At 39.8% G+C, this 24,655-nt stretch overlaps 1 long non-coding RNA gene across 6 annotated transcripts in view; it reads right to left on the bottom strand.

Annotated features, from left to right (window-relative positions):
- LOC107983981 (uncharacterized) overlaps positions 1-24,655 on the bottom strand; it is a 417,903-nt gene that overhangs the window by 390,055 nt on the left and 3,193 nt on the right. The gene's annotated exons all lie outside the window — the stretch shown is intronic.

Below are 24,655 nucleotides of genomic sequence, written 5' to 3'. Positions count from 1 at the left end.
CAGTTATAACAGTGTAAACCTGGATGGATCTAAATGTCGAGTAATAGAAGAATGTTTTATTCCACTCATATGTTGGAACATCATACAGCCATTGAAAATTGCTTATGAAGGCCAGGCTCAGTGCCTCATGCCTGCAATCCCAACAGTTTGGGAAGCCAAGGTAGATGGATCACTTGAGGTCAGGAGTCCAAGACTAGCCTGGCTAACATGGTGAAATCCCATCTCTATTAAAACACAAAAATTAGCCAGTCGTGGTGACATGTGCCTGTAGTCCCAGCTACTCAGGAGGCTGAGGCACGAGAATCACTTGGACCCAGGAGGCAGAAGTTGTAGTAAGCCAAGATTGTGCCACTACACTCTAGCCTCCTGGATGACAGAGCAAGACTCCATCTCAAAAAAAAGAAAGAAAAAAGAAAAGAAGAGAAAAGGAAATTGCTTGTGAAAAGCACATAACAAGGGAATATATTTGTGTTTTAATTGTAAGTGTAAAATATACACAAAATACACAAAGCGTACATACAAGATGGTTTTAACTATATAAAATGAAGGCATAAAAACAAGGGGTTCAACTCACTAGGGAAAATGCACATAGAAATTCCAGTGAGACAGAATTTCACACCATCAGAATTTAAAGTCTGAAAATTCCAAGTGTTGGTGATGCTATGGAATAAATGGAACTGGAACCATAATTTGGCAACATCTAGTAAACTTGAAGAATTTCCTTTTCTGGGTGTATACCCACTGGAAATCTTCTACATGTATGGAAAGGGACAGCCACAGAAAAGTTTACTGTTTGTAACAGTGCATCATAAAAGCAACTCATCAGTTAGTTATTAATTTCTATTAATAAGAGAAGAGATGAATAAATGGTAGTCATAAAAAGGCTCACGCCTGTAATCCCAGCACTTTGGGAGGCCAAGGCGGGTGGATCATGAGGTCAGGAGATCGAGACCATCCTGGCTAACACGGTGAAACCCCGTCTCTACTAAAAATACAAAAAATTAGCCGGGAGCGGTGGCGGGCTCCTGTAGTCCCAGCTACTTGAGAGGCTGAGGCAGGAGAATGGCGTGAACCCAGGAGGCGGAGCTTGCAGTGAGCCGAGATCGCGCCACTGCACTCCAGCCTGGGCGACAGAGCCAGACGCTGTCTCAAAAAAAAAAAAAAAAGGAATACTATACAGCAATGAAAATGGAGGAACTATAGCAAAATCAACAGGGCTAAATCTTACAAACATAATATTGAGCATCAAATGTAAATTCAGGAAAAAATAGCTTTGTAAACCTTTAAAACATACAAATCAATACTTTATACTAATTAGTAATAGATGCATGTAGAGTAAGAATATAAAGAAATGTAACATAATGCTTATCTCTTATAGGGAGAGAGAGAGACATGACAGGAAAAGAGGACACAGGGAGTCTCAGTAGTATAGCTGAATGTTTCATTTCTTTTTTATCATTATTATTATTATTATACTTTAAGTTCTAGGGTGCATGTGCTCAATGTGGAGGTTTGTTACATATGTATAAATGTGACATGTTGGTTTGCTGCACCCATTAACTCCTCATTTACATTAGGTATCTCTCCTAATGCTATCCCTCCCCCATTCCCCCACCCCTTGACAGGCCCCAGTGTGTGATGTTCTCCACCCTCAGTCCAACTGTTCTCACTGTTCAATTCCCACCTATAAGTGAGAATATGCGGTGTTTGGTTTTCTGTCCTTGCAATAGTTTACTCAGAATGCTGGTTTCCGGCTTCAACCATGTCCCTACAAAGGACAGGAACTCATCCTTTTTTATGGCTGCATAGTATTCCATGGTGTATATGTGCCACATTTTCTTAATCCAGTCTATCATTGATGGACATTTGGGTTGGTTCCAAGTCTTTGCTATTGTGAATAGTGCCATAATAAGTATATGTATGCATGTGTCTTTATAGTAGCATGATTTATAATCCTTTGGGTATATGCCCAGTAATTGGATCACTGGGTCAAATGGCATTTCTAGTTCTAGATTCTTGAGGAATTGCCACACTGTCTTCCACAATGGTTGAACTAGTTTACACTCCCACCAACAGTGTAAAAGCGTTCCTATTTCTCCACATCCTCTCCAGCACCTGTTGTTTCCTGACTTTTTAATGATTGCCATTCTAACTGGTGTGAGATGGTATGTTACTGCAGTTTTGATTTGCATTTCTCTGATGACCAGGGATGATGAGCATTTTTTCATGTGTCTGTTGGCTGCATAAATGTCTTCTTTTGAGAACTGTCTGTTCATATCATTTGCCCATTTTTCATGGGGTTGATTTTTTCTTGTAAATTTGTTTAAGTTCTTTATAGATTCTGGATATTAGCCCTTTGTCAGATGGGTAGATTGCAAAAATTTTCTCCCATTCTGTAGGTTGCCTGTTCACGCTGATGGTAGTTTCTTTTGCTGTGCAGAAGCTCTTTAGTTTAATTAGATCCAATTTCTCTATTTCAGCTCTTGTTGCCATTGCTTTTGATGTTTTAGTCATGAAGTCCTTGCCCATGCCTATGTCCTGAATGGTATTGCCTAGGTTTTCTTCTAGGGCTTTTATGGTTTTAGGTCTAACATTTAAGTCTTTAATCCATCTTGAATTAATTTTTGTATAAGGTGTAAGGAAGGGATCCAGTTTCAGCTTTCTGCATATGGCTAGCCAGTTTTCCCAGCACCATTTATTAAATAGGGAATCCTTTCCCCATTTCTTGTTTTTGTCAGGTCTGTCAAACATCAGATTGTTGTAGATGTGTGATGTTATTTCTGAGGCCTCTGTTTTGTTCCATTGGTCTGTATCTCTGTTTTGATACCAGTACCACGCTGTTTCAGTTACTGTAGCCTTGTAGTATAGTTTGAAGTCAGGTAGCGTGATGCCTCCAGCTTTATTCTTTTGGCTTAGGATTGCCTTGGCAATGGGGCATCTTTTTTGGTTCCAATGAACTTTAAATTAGTTTTTTCCAATTCTGTGAAGAAAGTCATTGGTAGCTTGATGGGGATGCCATTGAATCTATAAATTACCTTGGGCAGTGTGGCCCTTTTCACGATATTGATTCTTCCTATCCATGAGCACGGAATGTTCTTCCATTTGTTTGTGTCCTCTTTTATTTGGTTGAGCAGCGGTTTGTAGTTCTCCTTGAAAAGGTCCTTCACATCCCTTGTAAGTTCGATTCCTAGGTATTTTATTCTCTTTGTAGCAATTGTGAATGGGAGTTCACTCATGATTTGGCTCTCTGTTTGCCTATTATTGGTGTATAGGAATGCTTGTGATTTTTGCACGTTGATTTTGTATCCTGAGACTTTGCTGAAGTTGCTTATCAGCTTAAGGAGATTTTGGGCTGAGACTATGGGGTTTTCTAAATATACAATCATGTCATCTGCAAACAGGGACAATTTGACTTCCTATTTTCCTAATTGAATACATTTTATTTCTTTCTCTTGCCTGATTGCCCTGGCCAGAACTTCCAACACTATGTTGAATAGGAGTGGTGAGAGAAGGCATCCCTGTCTTGTGCCAGTTTTCAAAGGGAATGCTTCCAGTTTTTGCCCATTCAGTATGATATTGGCTGTGGGTTTGTCATATATAGCTCATATTATTTTGAGATAAGTCCCATCAATACCTAATTTATTGAGAGTTTTTAGCATGAAGCGCTGTTGAATTTTGTCAAAGGCCTTTTCTGCATCTATTGAGATAATTATGTGGTTTTTGTCTTTGGTTCTGTTGATGTGATGGATTACGTTTATTGATTCCTGTATGTGGAACAAGGCTTGCATCCCAGGGATGAAGCCAACTTGATCTTCGTGGTTAAGCTTTTTGATGTGCTGTGGGATTTGATTTGCCAGTATTTTATTGAGGATTTTTGCATTGATGTTCATCAGGGATATTGGTCTAAAATTCTCTTTTTTTGTTGTGTCTCTGCCAGGCTTTGGTATCAGGATGATGCTGGCCTCATAAAATGAGTTAGGGAGGATTACCTCTTTTTCATATGATTGGAATAGTTTCAGAAGAAATGGTACCAGCTCCTCTTTGTACCTCCGGTAGAATTCGGCTGTGAATCCATCTGGTCCTGGGCTTTTTTTGGTTGGTAAGCTATTAATTATTGCCTCAATTTCAGAACCTCTTATTGGTCTATTCAGGGATTCAACTTCTTCCTGGTTTAGTCTTGAGAGGGTGTATGTGTCCAGGAATTTTCCATTTCTTCTAGATTTTCTAGTTTATCTGCATAGAGGTGTTTATAGTATTCTCTGATAGTAGTTTGTATTTCTGTGGGATCAGTGGTGATACCCCCTTTATCATTTTTTATTGCGTCCATTTGATTCTTCTCTCTTTTCTTCTTTATTAGTCTTGCTAGCAGTCTAACAATTTTGTTGATCTTTTCAAAAAAACAGCTCCTGGATTCATTGATTTTTTAAAGGGTTTTTTGTGTCTCTCTATCTCCTTCAGTTCTGCTCTGATCTTAGTTATTTCTTGCCTTCTGCTAGCTTTGGAATGTGTTTGCTCTTGCTTCTCTAGTTCTTTTAATTGTGATGTTAGGGTGTCGACTTTAGATCTTTCCTGCTTTCTCTTGTGGGCATTTAGTGCTATAAATTTCCCTCTACACACTGCTTTAAATGTGTCCCAGAGATTCTGGTACATTGTGTCTTTGTTCTCATTGGTTTCAAAGAACATCTTTATTTCTGCCTTCATTTCGTTATTTACCCAGTAGTCATTCAGGAGCAGGTTGTTCAGTTTCCAGGTAGTTGAGCGGTTTTGAGTGAGTTTCTTAATCCTGAGTTCTAGTTTGATTGCACTGCGGTCTGAGTGGCAGTTTGTTATGATTTATGTTCTTTTACATTTGCTGAGGAGAGCTTTACTTCCAACTATGTGGTCAATTTTGGAATAAGTGCAATGTGGTGCTGAGAAGAATGTATATTCTGGTGATTTGTGGTGGAGAGTTCTGTAGATGTCTATTAGGTCTGCTTGGTGCAGAGCTGAGTTCAAGTCCTGGATATCCTTGTTAACCTTCTGCCTCATTGATCTGTCTAATATTGACAGTGGGGTGTTAAAGTCTCCCATTATTATTGTGTGGGAGTCTAAGTCTCTTTGTAGGTCTCTAAGAACTTGCTTTATGAATCTGGGTGCTCCTGTATTGGGTGCATATATATTTAGAATACTTAGCTCTTCTTGTTGAATTGATCCCTTTACCATTATGTAATGGCCTTCTTTGTCTCTTTTGACCTTTGTTGGTTTAAGGTCTGTTTTATCAGAGACTAAGATTGCAACCCCTGCTTTTTTTTTTTTTTTTTTTGCTTTCCATTTGCTTAGTAGATCTTCCTCCATCCCTTTATTTTGAGCCTATGTGTGTCTCTGCACGTGAGATGTGTCTCCTGAATACAGCACACTGATGGGTCTTGACTCTTTATCAAATTTGCCAGTCTGTGTCTTTTAATTGGGGCATTTAGCCCATTTACATTTAAGGTTAATATTGTTATGTGTTAATTTGATCCTATCATTTTGATGTCAGCTAGTTATTTTGCCCGTTAGTTGATGCCATTTCTTCCTAGCATCCATGGTCTTTACAATTTGGCATGTTTTTGCAGTGGCTGGTACCGGTTGTTCCTTTCCATGTTTAGTGCTTCCTTCAAGAGCTCTTGTAAGGCAGGCTTGGTGGTGACAAAATCCCTCAGCATTTGCTTGTCTGTAAAGGATTTTATTTCTCCTTCACTTCTGAAGCTTAGTTTGGCTGGATATGAAATTCTGGGTTGAAAATTCTTTTCTTTAAGAATGCTGAATATTGGCCCCCACTCTCTTCTGGCTTGCAGAGTTTCTGCCAAGAGATCCGCTGTTAGTCTGATGGGCTTCCCTTTGTGGGTAACCTGATCTTTCTCTCTGGCTGCCCTTAACATTTTTTCCTTCATTTCAACCTTGGTGAATCTGACAATTATGTGTCTTGGGGTTGCTCTTCTCAAGGAGAATCTTTGTGGCGTTCTCTGTATTTCCTGAATTTGAACGTTGGCCTGCCTTGCTAGGTTGGAGAAGTTCTCCTGGATAATATCCTGAAGAGTCTTTTCCGGCTTGGTTCCATTCTCCCCGTCACTTTCAGGTATACCAATCAAACGTAGATTTGGTCTTTTCACATAGTCCCATATTTCTTGGAGGCTTTATTTGTTTACTTTTACTCTTTTTTCTCTAAACTTCTCTTCTCACTTAATTTCATTAATTTGATCTTCAATCACTGATACCTTTCTTCCACTTGATCGAATCGGCTACTGAAACTTGTGCATGTGTCACGTAGTTCTCGTGCCAAGGTTTTCAGCTCCATCAGGTCATTTTAGGTCTTCTTTACACTGTTTATTCTAGTTAGCTATTCATCTAATCTTTTTTCAAGGTTTTTAGTTTCCTTGCAATGGGTTCGAACATCCTTCTTTAGCTCAGAGAAGTTTGTTATTACCAACCTTCTGAAGCCTACTTCTGTCAACTCGTCAAAGTCATTCTCCATCCAGCTTTGTTCTGTTGCTGGCGAGGAGCTGCGATCCTTTGGAGGAGAAGAAGCACTCTGGTTTTTAGAATTTTCATCTTTTCTGCTCCGGTTTCTCCCCATCTTTGTGGTTTTATCTACCTTTGGTCTTTGATGATGGTGACCTACAGATGGGGTTTTGGTGTGGATGTCCTTTTTGTTGATGTTGATGCCATTCCTTTCTGTTTGTTTGTTTTCCTTCTAACAGTCAGGTCCCTCAGCTGCAGGTCTGTTGGAGTTTGCTTGAGGTCCACTCCAGACCCTGTTTGCCTGGGTATCACCAGCGGAGGCTGCAGAACAGCAAATATTGCACAACAGCAAATATTGCCACCTGATCCTTCCCCTGGAAGCTTCGTCTCAAAGGGGCACCTGGCTGTATGAAGTGTCAGTCAGCCGCTACTGGGAGGTGTCTCCCAGTTAGGCTACGTGGGAGTCAGGGACCCACTTGAGGAGACAGTCTGTCCGTTCTCAGAGCTCAAACACCATGCTGGGAGAACCACTGCTCTCTTCAGAGCTGTCTGACATGGACGTTTAAGTCTGCAGAAGTTTCTGCTACCTTTTGTCAGCTATGCCCTGCCCCCAGAGGTGGAATCTACAGACGCAGGCAGGCCTCGTTGAGCTGAGGTGGGCTCCACCCAGTTCGAGCTTCCTGGCCACTTTGTTTACCTACTCAAGCCTCAGCAATGGCGGACACCCCTCCCCCAGCCAGGCTGCTGCCTCGCAGCTTGATCTCTGACTACTGTGCTAGCAATGAGCAAGGTTCCGTGGGTGTGGGACCTGCTGAGCCGGGCATGGGATATAATCTCCTGGAGTGCTGTTTGCTAATACCACTGGGAAAGTGCAGTATTTGGGTGGCAGTGTCCCAATTTTCCAGCTACAGTCTGTCACGGCTTCCCTTCTGAATGTTTCATTTCTTTAGCAGGATGGTGGGTAACTGATTGTTGGCTGTACTATTCCTTATACCTTTTGGTACCTCTTAAGTATTCTATAACAATTTAAAAATATAGAATAAATGATTACATGGAATCATTTCAAGGAATGGAATGGAATGGAATTAGCTACAGCCAGTAATACAATGGCTATCTCTTGATGGTAAGAATGAAAATGAGATTTTTCTTCTTTCTACTCTTCACCATTTGATAAGCAAGTACAATCTGGAAAACATATAATTTATTTACAAATAAGGAGGCACCAGTCAGAGCCAGGATCTACAGAGACAAGAGACATATAGGAGAGTGTGGCCAAAGTAAGGACAAGAGGGCATCCTTTTTTACTCCCAACCAATAAGTCCCTTTCCTCTGAGTAACCCCTGTCTCAATTGGTTTGAACTGACCAGGCCCAGAACACCACAGGAATTTTCTGCAGCTCCTCTGAGCTCAGTTCAGTTAGTCAAAAATACCATGAAGGCCTACTATGTGCCTGGCACAATAGAGAAGCCTTGCCTTATCTTCGTCCAAGCGCCTACTCATCGCAGACTAAAGGCCCGGTTTTTTCCTCTACCAATCTGCCCCCAGTTCCTTCCATAACTTCCATAATCAGGCCAGCCCTGTCCTGAGACAGGACCTAGTGATTCAAGATGCATCTGCTTCTACCTAGCAATGCAGTGCAATGGGAGCTAACCCAAAGGCATTATTCCTAAGTAAAGGTGCACAGGGAGCTCCACCTGATATCATACTACTATGGGCTCTTTTGCAAACCAAATAAAATACTCCAAAAACCAGCTGCTCACCTCCATTGGCATTCATGTTTAGACTTCATCAATTTTACTCAACTGTTTATTGTTGCTAATGAGTTTAGAAAGAGAGCATTCTGAAAATAGCCAAAAGGTCACTGAAGAACAGAAGGAAAAAATTAGAAGTGTGCACTCTCAAACTTGCTCGAAGAGAAAAGCCACTCACCAACTAGCCCATTTATCTCACTGAACAAACCTTTGTTTAGGGCTTACCATGTGCCATGTACAGCTCTTAGTGCTTCTCAGATATTAACATGTTTGGTCCTCATAACAACCCTGTGATGTATCCATGATTAGTAACCTTGTCATGTTATGAATGAGGAAACTGAGGCACAAGTTCACATAGCTGCCAGGTAGAGGTACCAAGACCCAGGCCCACACAGCCAGGCTTTAGAATCCCAGCTACTCACCACCATGCTGGGCTGCTGCCCCCCATGCAAATGAGCTTGTAAGGAACGGGAGTTACTTTGTCAATGGCCAGACAGAAATAAACCTCTATATTCCATTATTTTTTCCAAGAAATCACTGCTTTTTCACAAATCCAGAGTTTTCCAACCTGAACCCAGTAGTATGACCCATCTCCTCTCCATAAGGACTCACCAAAGATCATGAGGCTTACGTGTCCTAAAACCACTTACTCAACCTCTCAGGACCCAGCCCCCACACCCCACCAATCACCACCTTTTGTTCAAGTGGCTCATTCTGGGGAAAGGTTGAATGAGGAAACTAGTTCTCAGTACAAGAATCTCCAGTCAATGCCAGAGGAGGAGGAAGTGACTCTTGCTGGGAGCTGCAAGTGCTTCACAAAGAAAGTTTTCAAGATTAAAAATCAAAATAAGAGTGCGATACCTGACTTGGAATTTTTGCCAGAATATCAAATGTTTTATTACTGAAAATACATACTTTTTTATGATAAGTGGGCAATGGGCATTCTCATACACTGTTGGAAAGGATAAATCAGTACATTTCAGGTGGGGATGTTTTGGAAAAACCTGTTAACATTTTTTTCAACGTGTATACTCTAACCCTGTAATTCCACAGCTCAGAATATACACACACTCACATAGAACTATAAGTCACAGTTTTGTTTCCAATAGAGAAAACAATCAGGAAAAAACTAAAAATCCATAATTAGGGGTCCAGTTAAATAAATCATAGCATATCCAAACAGTTGAATACTTCACAGTTCTGACAAAAATTAGGTAGATCTAGTTGATATGGACTGGAAATATCTTTAAGATACGTTATCAAACAAAACAAACAAAAAAGACTCACAAGACTGGTTGTAACATGTTCCATTTGTATAAATGTTTAAAAGCATATGCCTGCATACACATGGGGAAATTTTTAAAATGTTTTAATGTTTAAAAGACTACATGAGAAACTGACAGTAATTCCTAGGGTTGAGGGAATATACAGAGAAAGAGTTTTATTTTTCATTTCATACTTTACTATGTTTTGAGGTTTGGGGGAGGGGGGTTTGTGGTGGTTGTTGTGGTTGTTGTTGTTTGAGATGGAGTCTTATTGTGTCACCCAGGCTGGAGTGCATTGGCATGATCTCAGCTCACTGGAACCTCTGTCTCCTGGATTCAAGGGATTCTCCTGCCTCCTGAGTAGTGGGGATTACAGTTGCCTGCTACTAAGCCCAACTAATTTCTGTACTTTTAGTAGAGACAGGGTTTCACCATGTTGGCCAGGCTGGTATTGAACTCCTGACCTCAAGTGATCCACCCGCCTCAGCCTCCCAAAGTGCTGGGATATCAGGCGTGAGCCACTGCACTAAGCCTTGAGTTTTTAACATGTGTATATATTAGCTTTAGCTATTGTTTTAATTTTAAATAAATTTCTCTGATTTGTTTACAAATAAGTAGCTTTAATTGTATTTTTCAAATATATATAGATATATATTATGTAACACATATATTTGTGTGTATTATGTACATATGTACATATACATATTTAGACTAAGATAATAAACGGAAAAAAGATGTGTCATTGGATCTGCACTAACAGAGACACATAAATATTACACAGTATTATTGTCAACATTAATGATACTGATTTTCAAAACTTGAATATACAATTCAATTTCTTAAACATTCTTTCTGTTTATCTTCCTACCACCTCTGTCCATTTTGTTTGCACTTTTCATTAGAAGGACAAAATGGGAGTTTTTTTGTTTTTTTGTTTTGTTTTGTCTTGCTTTGTTTTATTGAGACAGAGTCTTCCTCTGTCACCCAGGCTGGAGTGCAGTGGCGCGATCTTGGCTCAGTGCAACTTCCGCCTCCCGGGTTCAAGTGATTCTCCTGCCTCAGCCTCCCAAGTAGCTGGGACTACAGGCACGTGCCACCACGCCTGGCTAATTTTTTGTATTTTTAGTAGAAGTGGGGTTTCACCATGTTATCCAGGATGGTCTCATTCTCCTGACCTCCTGATCTGCCCGCCTCGGCCTCCCAAAGTGCTGGGATTACAGGCGTGAGCCACCGTGCACGGCCAGGACAAAATGTTTTTGGTGGATAATATAAAGCCCAATCCAACTGCCACAAATTTCAAATAAATAATTCAAATTAATCATGCCACAAGGTATCTATTATTATGGAGGGTTTTTGAAGAATAAGAGTATTCAAAACAATAACTGATGACTAAGTAGAAGGGCAATTATAGGAGGAAGACAGAATATTTAGGCAAGAAGGTGAAAAATTGAAAAGAAAAAACTAGACAAGACAAGAAAACAGTTCTGTGTCTGCAGTGAAGATTTGTGAGAAGTAAATGTGATTACAAGGGAAGGGGTGTTTCTCGGTAACTGAAACTTGACAGGAAGGACATTAAGATATGACAGGGTTTGAATAGACTAGATTTGGAAAGGTAGAATCATAAAGCTGGAAAAAACTCCAAGAGACTTCCCAAGGTCTCTAAAAGAATAGCAATTATTTGATGATATAAGACACTGAAAAGATGTTAGGTGAAATTATCTATTAAACATCATAGGATTATAAATCTACACCCTGGATAGATCAGTAAAAGCAATCTCAGTTAAAAGTGGACAAAACTGCATCTCTCCGCTGCATTTCTTAAAAACCTCTTTGAATCGGATCATACACTTACACACATACACACACACTTACACAAATCAGGGTGACCAATCATCCCAACTTACCGGGGACTGAGGAGGTATCTGGAATTCAAGACTTTCAGGTCTAAAACTAGGAGAGTCCCAGGCAAATCAGGAACAAGTTGGACACCCTAACACAGAGAGGATAGATAGAAAGATAGATGGATGGATAGATAGAAAAGATAGATAATGAATACAGATAACCTTAGAGACATGTCTCTGAAATGTATTGTGGAGCATTATAAAATAAAATTAAGATTCTTGCTGTAGCTTCTATTATTTTTAATAGAAGCAATATAAATTGAGTATAGCCATTAATTACACCATTTCCATATTCTGTCCCTCGAAGCGAAATGGCATGGGTTAGTGAGACTTTTGCGTACTCTGCACCTAGAAGAAAACTCTTGTAACATGCCAGTCAAGATGATTACAGTGGAGTCTATTTAAGATCTAATTCTATCCAAATTGATAGCAGGATAGGGCTGATATTTCATAGTACTTTTAGATTTTCTTTAAAACTAAGTAGGGCAATTTCTGGGATATGAGAATTATCAGAGTTTGTTATAACAGATAATCTACTGACTGATAAAAGATCTTTAACCGAAAGCAAATGACTTTGGGAAACCATCTCTTTGCCACCGTGCATTGGTATTGCCTCCTTCACAGTCACCACGGGAAGAGTAAATCTATAGTTATGTTCCAGCAGCAATTTCCTCTCACATAAGTATGCTCCTAGGTTTTTCTGAGTACAGGCCACTCTCTTGCCTGTAAGAGTCTGATCAAACTGACACATTACAGCATTTCAACGAAATTCCTAAAAACAATAAACAAATCCTCTTCAATGTAGGATCTTCAGAAAAACAAATTAGATACAGTATACCACACTGTGATTTCATAATTCAATATATCCATTTCACTGGTTTCACAGCATTAAACTGACCCATGATGGTTTCACTGTCTTTTATCATCTCTCATAGGAAGAAATGAGGACATATAAAAGGTTCCTCAAATGTAAAATGCGAAATGGAGACTATTTCCTCCTCCCTCTCTTTCTCAAAAGAATATCCTGCTCCTCCCCCAGTCACCTCATCTCTGTAAAATGGCACCACCATCCATCTGGTGGCTTCAGCCAACCATCTAATAGTTATCTTTTAAATTGTTTCCCCTCACTGCCACATTTCCAATTCATCAACAATTGCTATCAGTTCCACTTCTGAATCATTTTCCAAAAATCCCCATTCTTCTGCCTCTCTACTGCCATTACCTTAGTCCAAACCTTCCTTCCTCAGGTGAAGCTGCAATCGCCCCCTAAAAGCTTCCCACCCTTGAACCTCCGCTATTCATTCCCCAGGGAACAGCCCAAAAAGTATTTTTTAAACACAAATACAAACTACCATCAGAGAATACTATAAACACCTCTACACAAATAAACTAGAAAATTTAGAAGGAATGGATAAATTCCTGGACACATACACCTTCCCAAGATTAAACCAAGAAGAAGTCGAATCCCTGAGTTGACCAATAACAAGTTCTGAAATTGAAGCAGTAATTAATAGCCTACCAACCAAAAAAAAGCCCAGGACCAGACGGATTCACAGCCTAATTCTACCAGAGTACAAAGAGGAGCTGGTACCATTCCTTCCGAAACTATTCCAAACAATGTAAGAGGGACTCCTCCCTAACTCATTTTATGAGGCCAGCATCATCCTGATACCAAAACCTGGCAGAGACACAACAAAAAAAGAAAATTTCAGGCCAATATCCCTGATGATCATTGATGCGAAAATCTTCAGTTAAATACTGGCAAACCGAATCCAGCAGCACATCAAAAAGCTTATCCACCAAGATCAAGTTGGCTTCATCCCTAGGATGCAAGGCTGGTTCAACATACGCAAATCAATAAATGTAATCCATCACATAAACAGAACCAACGACAAAAACCACATGATTACCTCAATACATGCAGAAAAGGCCTTCAATAAAATTCAATACCCCTTCAGGCTAAAAACTCTCAATAAACTAGGTATTGATGGAACATATCTCAAAATAATAAGAGCTATTTATGACAAACCCACAGCCAATATCATACTGAATGGGCAAAAACTGGAAGCATTTCCTCTGAAAACCAGCACAAGACAAGGATGCCCTCTCTCACCACTCCTATTCAACACAGTATTGGAAGTTCTGGCCAGGGCAATGGGCAAGAGAAAGAAATAAAGTGAAATCAATTAGGAAAATAGGAAGTCAAATTGTCTCTGTTTGCAGATGACATGATTCTATATTTAGAAAACCCCATAGTCTCAGCCCAAAATCTCCTTAAGCTGATAAGCAACTTCAGCAAAGTCTAAGAACACAAAATCAATGTGCAAAAATCACAGGCATTTCTATACACCAATAATAGACAAACAGAGAGCCAAATCATGAGTGAACTCCCATTCACAATTGCTACAAAGACAGTAAAATACCTAAGAATCCAACTAACAAGGGATGTGAAGGATTTCTTCAAGGAGAACTACAAATCACTGCTCAAGGAAATAAGAGAGGGCACAAACAAATGGAAAAACATTCCATGCTCATGGATAGGAAGAATCAATATCGTGAAAATGGCCATACTGCCCAAAGTAATTTACAGATTCAATGCTATCCCCATCAAGCTACCATTGGCTTTCTTCACAGAATTAGAAAAAACTACTTTAAATTTCACGTGGAACCAAAAAAGAGCCCATATAGCCAAGACGATCCTAAGCAAAAAGATTAAAGCTGGAGACATCATGCTACCTGACTTCAAACTATACTACAAGGCTACACTTACCAAAACAGCATGGTACTGGTACCAAAACAGATACATAGACCAATGGAACAGAACCAAGATCCTCAGAAATAACGCCACACATCTACAACCATCTGATCTTTGACAAACCTGACACACACAAGCAGTGGAGAAAGGATTCCCTATTTAATAAATGGTTCTGGGAAAACTGGCTAGCCATATGCAGAAAACTGAAACTGGACCCATTCCTTACCTTATACAAAAATTAAAGATGGATTAAAGACTTAAACGTAAGACCTAAAACCGTAAAAACCATAGAAGAAAACCTAGGCAATACCATTCAGGACATAGGCATGGGCAAAGACTTCATGACTAAAACACAAAAAGCAATGGCAACAAAAGCCAAAACTGACAAATGGGATCTAATTAAACTAAAGAGCTTCTGCACAGCAAAAGAAACTATCATCAGAGTGAACAGGCAACCTACAGAATGGGAGAAAATTTTTGCAATCTATCCATCTGACAAAGGGCTAATATCCAGAATCTACAAGGAACTTAAACAAATTTACAAGAAAAAAACAAATAACCCCATCAAAAAGTGGGGTTCTCAAAAGAAGACATTTGTGTGGCCAAGAAACATATTTTAAAAAGCTCATCATCACTGGTCATTACAGAAATGCAAATCAAAACCACAATGAGATACCATCTCACACCAGTTAGAATGGTGAGAATTAAAAAGTCAGGAAACAACAGATACTGGAGAAGACGTGGAGAAATAGGAACACTTTTTTTTTTTGGAGATGGAGTTTTGCTCTTGTTGCTCAGGCTGGAGTGTAATGGCACAATCTCGGCTCACTGCAACCTCTGCCTCCTGGGTTCAAGTGATTCTCCTGCCTCAGCCTTCCCGAGTAGCTGGGATTACAGGCATGCACCACCACAGCTGGCTAATTTTGAATTTTTAATAGAGACAGGGTTTGTCCATGTTGGTCAGGCTGGTCTCGAACTCCCAACCTCAGCCCACCTCAGCCTCCCAAAATGCCAGGATTACAGGCATGAGCCACCGTGTCCCGGGAGGAATGCTTTTACACTGTTGGTGGGAGTGTAAATTAGTTCAACCATTGTGGAAGATAGTGTGGAGATTCCTCAAGGATCTAGAACCAGAAATACCATTTGATCCAGCAATCCCATTGCTGGATACTTACCCAAAGGATTATAAATCATTCTACTATAAAGACACATGTACATGTATGTTTATTGCAGCACTATTCACAATAGCAAAGACTTGGAACCAACCCAAACGCCCATCAATGATAGACTGGATAAAGAAAATGTGGCACATATACACCATGGAATACTATGCAGCCATAAAAAAGGATGAATTCATGTCCTTTGCAGGGACATGGATGAAGCTGGAAACCATCATTCTCAGCAAACTAACACAGGAACAGAAAACCAAATACCACATGTTCTCACTTATAAGTTGGAGGTGAACAATGAGAACACATGGACACAGAGAGGGGAACATCATACAGCAGGGCCTGTCAGGGGTTAGGGGACTATGAGAGGGATACCATTAGGAGAAATACCTAATGTAGACGACGGGTTGATGGGTGCAGCAAACCACCATGGCACATGTATACCTACGTAATAAACGTGCACATTCTGCACATGTACCCCAGAACTTGAAGTATAATTAAAAAAAGAAAGAAAATCTTAAAACCGTTGATGATTGTAACATACAGTAATTTCAGATTTTTTTAATGTTACATATTCACAATGAAAAATATAATTCAATGAATAAACCAAGAGTTTTAAAAAAAGTCTTCAAGGGCTTCTATTGCATTTGGACTACAACACCAATGTTTTTATCATGACCCACATGATGCCATCTGGTCCAGCCTCTGCCAAATCTCCATTCCTGTCTTGTGCCACTGTAGCCCTCAACTGCTATGCTTTAAGCATCAAATTAACAGACACATTTATTGATTTTGAGCAAATATATTTCAGCTTTGCTGGAATCAGCAGAAGGAGGGTGGCATACTGCCTACATCCAAAAGAAATGATTATCCTAATACCTTCCATCTCTGTCCTTTTATTTAAATCTAACATTTATATTCCTTTATTTTTGCCTCATAGATAAAATTTGAAACTGGCAGATAACATCATTCTTTTCTGACAATTGGAAAACTGAAACATGCAGAGAGGTCATAATGCATAAAATGGCCATGTCTACCTCAACTTAAGTGTGAATTAAGCATTAATGGAATTTCAGGCTACAATTCATCCTACAGAGTTATATTAAGTCAGCAGCAAATATATGTCCTATTTTGTAAAAACTCTTAAGAACCTATAATGTTACATCTCTTGAATTCATTTTTAAACCATGTTTTAAATGTCTGTGTCATCCTCTAATATCCCTGAAAATTGTGATATTATTCCCCATTCAGGATTATCTCTACTGAGAAAAATTTTATTTGCATTGTCATTCTGGCAAAGAAGGTCTTGAAATACATAAACCACCTGGGTCAATAAGAAACTATCACTAGTTTTTCCTAATGTCAAATATCTAATTAAGAATCTTTAACAATTCAAAACAAAAATAAAAATTCAGAAAATCGAGTGGAATATTTTTACCAATATGAGTCAAGATTTATTTTTGTATGGATGCTAAAATTACTTTGTAAAAGAGAATTTTCACTGTACTTTCTCTCTTGCTAGCAACCACAGATATTCCTAAAAATTGGGAGAACGAAATTACCCAGACATGCAGAAAATACTGATTACTTACGCCCACTTCAGTTCAACCAAAATAGTTCTAAACTGATTTCCTATTGCTTTGGAGAAAAAGTATATACCCAAAGAAATTCATACCCAAAATATTTTATAAAATAGAAGTACCCTGGTTTGAATGGGGGTAAAAATCCGGAGCTCCACCTGCTGAGCCATCTCCTCACGATAGTTTTCCTAAGAAAAATCTAAGACTTATAAGATTCACTACAATCCACAAAAGTTGCTGGAATTTTACTTTGGATCCTGTTTAAAATGATGGATTTTATAACACAAGTTTAAGAAGCATCAGATGTTCAATTTGTTTTTGATTTACAGTATTAGTTCTATTTCTATTCCTATTTCAATGTGACTGTCTTTCTCTCTATCTCCTTATACTATTTACTCTGCTTTTATTCTGTTTCCAGGCACTGCAATTGCAGTGACAATGAGTTTTGAATTCCTAAAACACAAAGGAGAAAGAATGTGTATTTCAAGGGATATATTCAGTATTTTTATGTATTCAATATTGTTTTTAGGAGGATGACTTTGTTTTTAATCAAATGAGCCATAAGACACTGCCCACTGTAATGTACGACTAGTCACTACACTTGGTAATGACAATAAAAGTCAATGGTTTGAGGCCAAATTCCCTGGTACTGAAATAAGAACAACAATAACAGAAAAAGGCATGTGAACACAGCTTCCTACAGCTTTCTACAGATTTGGGGATTTCACTATTTTATATCAATAAATCTGAAATAGAAGAGGGTATATCACAACAGAACAAAATAATGCTATAAGTTTCAAAGGAACATAGCAATAAATAAATTAAATTCAAGGACAAGAGAAAACCTTGCCGGGTGCAGTGCTCATGCCTGTAATCCCAGCACTTCAGGAGGCCAAGGTGGGCAGATCACAAGGTCAGGAGTTCGAGACCAGGCTGGACAACATGGTGAAACCCCGTCTCTACCAAAAGTACAAAAAAAAATTAGCCAGTCGTGGTGGTGCGCGCCTAATCCCAGCTACTCAGGAGGCTGAGGCAGGAGAATCACTTGAACCGGGGAGGAGGAGTTTGCAGTGAGCCGAGATCGTGCCACTGCACTCCAGCCTGGGCGACAGAGTGAGACTTCGTCTCCAAAAAAAAAAAAAAAAAAAAAAGCGAGAGAAAACCTTAATTGCATGCCTTGTGGACTAGATCATTTAGAGCACCCTCTCCACTAAGCACTGTTGCATTCTTTTCAGTCTTCATCACTTTGACCCCCACCTGGATGCAGACCTGCCTTAGTGAGCAGCCTGGGTCAGTCTGGGTAAGCAGACATTTTGTGTAGCATAGGTCTAAAGAGCACTGCTCAGCCCAATTACACCCAATACCCTCTTTATTAAGAGAAATTTTCTTATGTCTCCTTTGCTATCCTAAAGTAAAATTCACTGATAGTATAACCCACTGATGCACATGTTTTATAAGGCTCTAACAGATGTAAGGAAGAAGTAAAAAGCAATTTATATTTTAAGAATATACACTTGAAAATGTAAATGCTCAGGCGTGATGTCTTAGCCCTTTTGTACGGCTATATCGGAAAACTGAGACTGGGTAATTTTTAAATAACAGAAATTTATTTTGCTCATACTTCTGGAGACTGGGAATTCCAAGAGCATGGCACTGGCATCTGGTAAAAGCCTTCTTACCGCACCATCTCCTGGCAAAAGGCAGAAGGGCAAGAGAGGGCAAGAGCAGGAGCGACGGGTGGGGGGGACAAACTTGATTTTATAACAAACTTATTCTCATGATAACAACATAAATCCATTTATGAGGGCAGAGCCCTCGTTATCTAACACCTTCCATTAGACCTGCACCACAACACTATTGCATTGGGAATTAAGTTTCCAACACATGAAATTTAGGGAACATATTCAAACCGCAGCACAGGCCAAGCACAGTGGCTCATGCCTATAAGCCCAGCACTTTATGAGGCCAAGGTGGGAGAATCACTTGAAGCTAGGAGTTCAAAACCAGCTGGGCAACATAGGAAGACTTTGTCTCTACAGAAAAAAAATTAAAAATTAGCTGGGCACAGTGGTGTATACCTGTAGTCTCAGCTATGTGGGAGGCTGCGGTGGGAGGAGGGCTTGAGCCCATGACTTTGAGGCTGCAGTAAGCTATGATCATGCTATTGCAGTCCAGCCTGGGTGACAGAGTGAGACCCTAGCCCTACAATCTATTTTTTTTTTTTTTAGATGGAGTCCCACTCTGTCTCCCAGGCTAGAGTGCAGTGGCGTGATCTCGGCTCACTGCAACCTCTGCCTCCCGGGTTGAAGCGATTCTCCTACCTCCTGAGTAGCTGGGATTACAGGTACATGCTACCACACCAGGCTAATTTTTATATTTTTAGTAGAGACGGGGTTTCACCATGATGGCCAGGCTAGTCTTGAACTCCTCACCTCAGGTGATCCACCTGCCTCGGCCTCCCAAAGTGTTGAGATTAAAGGCGTGAACCACCCCGCCTGACCTAAGTTTTTTTTCAAAGCACAAAACTATATTAAAATACCTAATGAAGCAAAGAGGAGATATTATATTCTTTTGATTGAATTATTAATAATATAGACACACTCCTGCCAGGATTGCCAGAATTTAGAATCTACTTTCAAAGTTTGTAGGGGTTATATCACTTAGAAATATATTCAACTTCCAGTAACACATTGGAAAAAGACCTAGATAAATAGAGGCTTATATCTCTCTCATGAAAAAAATCAAGAGATACACACCAAGGGCTGAAATGATGGCTCCATGGTCATCAGGAATGAAGCTCTTTCTGTGTTTCTGCTGTGCCATCTTTAGCACATAGCTTTTATCCTGAAAATCATCTCTTACTTTCAAGATGGTCACTGCAGCTCCAATCATCAAGCCCGTGATCCAGATATCAGGATGAAGAAAGGGGCAAGGACCAAGTCATACATTCCAGCTGTTTCATACTCCTTTAAAGTGCTTTTCTGGAATTCTCACAAGACACCTGCTTACCTCTCATGGACCACAACATCTTTCTGCAAGAGAGACTAGGAGATAACAGTTGCATATCTGGGCACATGGCTACATCCAGCAATACAGGAGTTTTGTTAATATGGAAGAACAGGAATATGGATATTGACTTGGCAGTTCATTTGCTCATTACTTAGAAATTACAGATTCCCCTAAGGATGGGATAAATAAGCTATCCACAGGTATTGAAAATAATGATTAATCATTGCCTATTTGAGCTCTCTGTTTCAAGGACAGACAGACCAGATGATCTTCTGAGAGTCTCCCAACTCTGCTCTATAGTTTTGCTTGACTCTGTACTTCATTTTCTAGTGTAAGGCACAAAGAAAATCTTCAGTTCCTAGGCCTGTACCTTTGCTCATTTTGTGGGCTAGTTCTCACAACCAAAATGTTCTGTGGCCTCCCTCCCACTTCCCCAAATCCTACCAATCTTGGCTCAAGCCTTCTCTGATTACTCTAGTCCAGTTGATCTTCTCCTCTCTGAATTCTCACCACACACAGTCTATCAAACCTCTTAGCAGTTCAATGTTCTCTGCTCTTTTGTGGGTGCGAGTATTATATTCCCCCAGTATAAGAAGAAAGAGGCTTTTCCCCCCAAAATTCTAGCAGGGATGCTTAAGAAATCCAGCTGGTGAAGGAGACACTCCCACAGGACTGCCCTGGGGAAATGGGCTTCTACACCTGATGGTATGTGAACAGCAAGGGAGCAAAGAAGAAGAAAGCCAACGGAAGAGCAGGATAGCTGAAAAGGACTCTCAGAGAGGTGAGAAGAGCTTGTTTAGCAACACAGGGAAACTTGCAAGAAAGAACAGACATCTAAATATGAACTTTGGGAAGTTTATTGTGTAGAGTGTCATATAAGAAAGGGCAGTGCAGGTTTTAAAACACTTTCAAGAAGACAAAGTGGGCCAGGTGCAGTGGCTCACACCTGTAATCCCAGCACTTTAGGAGGCCGAGGCGAGAGGATCACCTGAGCCCAGTTAAAGACCAGCCTGGGCCAGGTGGTGAGTTCTCACAACCAAAATGTTGTGGAAAAAAAAATTAGCCAGGCATGATAGAGTGTGCCTGTAGTCCCAGCTACTTGGAAGGCTGAGGCAGGATTCACTGGGCCCAGGAATTCGAGGTGGCAATGAGCTGTGATCGCACCACTGCACTCCTGCCTGGGACAAAATGAAACCTCATCTCTAAAAATAAACATAGAAAAAAAAAGAAGACAGAGTGAGGATTCGCATTGTTCTTCAAGGCTTTTTGAGTTGCCGTGTGTTTTGTTCAAATGTGACCCGTGCACATAGCCACTGAGAACAAGCTTCAGACACAGGCAGAACCTCAGTTCTAAGACAATGGTTGTCCACTCACAACAAGCCAATCAACTTCAACAGAGAACAACAAAATTCAGAGGCAAAATGATGGGGTGCTTATGGTAATAGAAGGGAAAATTAAACAACAATAATAGTAAATAGAAAAACATCACACTTATTCTCCTCAAATAAATTTGATACTTCGATTTTTGTACTTAAGAAAAAATGGATATCTGGAAAATTATTTAATGAACTAACGCTTTATACACCAACAACATGAACACCAGCTTTGTTTGTGTGTGTTGCTCTTGTGTTTCTACTGACCTCCCTGTCCCCACTCTCCTCACTCTTAAACCAGTTCTTTTCCTAAGCAATAAATCCTATTACCTTATTTACCTGCTTAAAAACTTCTATTGGTTCCCTGTTGGGTAAATGAGAAAATCAAAACCCAACTTGGCAATAGGCCCTTCCCAGGCCCCAGCTGACTTTCTCTTGGAGCTATTACCCTCATGTCTGCCAGGCTGGGCACTTTATTCATTCTGTTTTTCTCTATGTTCTTCCTCTACAATCATTCTCACCTGCCCAGCTCCATCTCATCCTCCTAGGTAAAGCCTTTGGTGACAAACTCCCTGTCCCTGGCAGCTCCCCACCCTCTCTCCCAGCTTTCCTCGGATCTCTGAAATGCCATCTAAATGTCTGTCACTTCCCTCAGATACAGAAAAGGTCCTATTTCTTACTTTCTCTGAACCCCTGTATACCCAGCAAGGAGCCCAGCACATAGTGGGCAGTGAATAGCTAAGAAACAAAGTTTTTCATTCTGCAAATCACTTTCTACCTTGTTTCCAAGAGCTTCAGGGCAGTTTTCCATAGTCTAACTCCAAGAGGCCCCTTGTCTTCACATGGAAAGCCCAAGAAGTAGATAATGAGAGTTCTCTGGGCCCACACCAATCATTCCTGTAGAACAAATTGATGGTGTTCTCAGGGAGTGACACTGTGGGACACACCCCTGGGAAGCACTTGTCGAAAACTTTCCCCATAGGTATGTCAAGCAAAATGTTGGGGGAGGGTGCAAAAATGTTTCCCTTCCTATTCAACAGATCAGCACATCTTAGAAAGAGAAAATGACAGAGGGAGAGTAGAAGAGCAGAGCATGAAAGAGAGGGTGGCTATCCAAGGACAGTCTCTGCTGTCTGTCAGCTCACACCTCCTGCCACTCCCTGCTACTTAGGAAATAGTTCCAGCCAATTTCTTGCCCTTTTCCCATTATTTTTTCTATCTGGGCCTTTCCACCGCTAACCAAAAAGGAAAAGAAAAATTTGATTTCCACCAAAAATCAAAATATGTGATTTTACTAGGATTATTTATCTAGATAAATATCTCTCTTGTCAGTATTAATGTGTATATTACATTAAGTGGTATTTATTTTGTACTGGCAAACAAAAAGAATAACTCAGAGTTTCTACTCTCTCTATAACCAGCAATATCCCACAAGTTAAGTCCATTTTTCTCAGATAGAGAAATATTCTCAGAATAAACTGGCTTATCATTCCAATGTTTTACATTTAAATTGTCTGAAGCTTCTTTTCCTTTTTTCAGCTATTTAATGTTCAGCATCTGCAGATTCTAGTTCCAGAGTTAGATCAGCCTGGAGAGCTTCTAATTTCTTGAACTCTCCGTTCTGACCTGATTCCTACCCCCAGGGAAATATAATGCAGCTTCTGGAATCTTTCTAAACCACACAAGGACTGTTGTGGAAGGACATTTCAGTCATCAGAGTTTATGACTCAGAGCTTTTGAGCATCTAAGTTCCAGTATCTGTTTTTAAACTGTCTCTTGATCAGAGTTTAGGTCTTCTAGTTTCTCCCTATTTTACATTATAGAAACTAAATCAAAGGATTAATAAGACAAACAATGCTTGCAAATATAAAGTGCTATTGCAATGTTAGATTATGATAATAGGGTATTTTAAGGATGACAAGAATAAATATAAGGGGAGAGAAGGACTCATGAATTTGGGGCAGTCATTTAGGAATTAACCTAATATTTATTTCTACTATATGCCAAGCAATTTCACATACATTCTCCCATTCAATCTTTAACTCTGTGGCATAGACATTATCTCCATTTTAAAAGAGAAAACTGAAGTTCTGAGGGGTTAAATCCCTTGCCCAAGAGTCCCACTGCTAGTGGGTGCCATAGGATTTGAACTTAGGTCCTTTGACTCCTGGTTCAAAATTATTTTCACTGCATAACTTTTGCTGAAAAGACTAGCACAGTCCCTGGTTAGAAATTTGTTATCCATTATCTATGACCCACTTCTAGGGCTTACTAAAATAAATAGTTTTATTCTACTACAACCTCAAAAGTATCTCAAAAAATGAAATTGAGAGGCTCCCCCACTTCTTAGAATGGTTTCACTTAAGCAAGAACCAAGAAAGGTAGAATTTGTAGAGATGTGTAACGGCTCCCAGGATCCTTTACAAACAGGCATAAACCCCTACCTAATGCAGACTACTCAATGCTCCCTCCTTTTGGACTAAATGGGGCCCTTTTACCGAGGAAGCGCTAATATGGCATCAGGCTATTAATGGGAAAAGCATTTACTTTAGATTAAGAAGAGTGTAAAGCAGTGTGGAGGGGGGGCTCTATGACTGGCTATTAGGGATGTTAATTAAATATTTATAATGTCTAAATTAGCATAGCGAAAGCTCAATTCATCAATTTGTTCTGGTCTGTTTGTAAGGGGGAAAAAATAACTCCAAATGCCCCTGAAGAAAGACACTATGTGGGTCAATAAGAAGATGACTGAACAATTTATTATGATTGTGGTAAACTTTTTATTTGATTTTATTTAAAGGTACTTGTTGCAGCACCTTACCTTAAAGACCATTTACCACAGTCAATATACTGGAGGGCCATGCATTATTCATTGTTATCCAATGAAAAATTTTCTAAGGTGCTTCAATGCTGAATGCCTGATTGATTAATTGATTGCTTGATAGTTACTTCCAAAAAGTAAGGACTAGATTTAATGTTTAGAACCAGGCGCTGGAAGCTAGAAGCTCTGAGTTCTTCCTCTATTGCTAACTAGCCTGCTGAAGGACTTAGATTTCCAAGCCTTAAAATGATATCTTGCTAATATAGCTGTTTTTAGGCTTCCTGGTTAATAATTAAGAGGACTAGTTGGATCTTCCACTGAAAACTGCTAAGTGTGCGGCTGCTTCTCCTCAGATTGGGGTGGAAAAGCCAAGCATATTAATACCTAAATACCCACAGCCTGTGGGCATTATGTACATGCTTAATGAATGTACTTTATGAATTCCATTAGTTACAATTACTTTTACCTCATTTTATTATAGGAACGTCTCAAAAGGGAAAAGCCAACTGTCTAACTTATTTTCAACTGTAAATGAGACTGGCTGCAATGGA

Source organism: Homo sapiens, chromosome 15 (genome assembly GCF_000001405.40).
Source record: "Homo sapiens chromosome 15, GRCh38.p14 Primary Assembly".
Classification (NCBI taxonomy): domain Eukaryota; kingdom Metazoa; phylum Chordata; class Mammalia; order Primates; family Hominidae; genus Homo; species Homo sapiens.
Note: the sequence above shows the minus strand (reverse complement) of the source record. Positions and strands in the feature narration are given on the sequence as shown.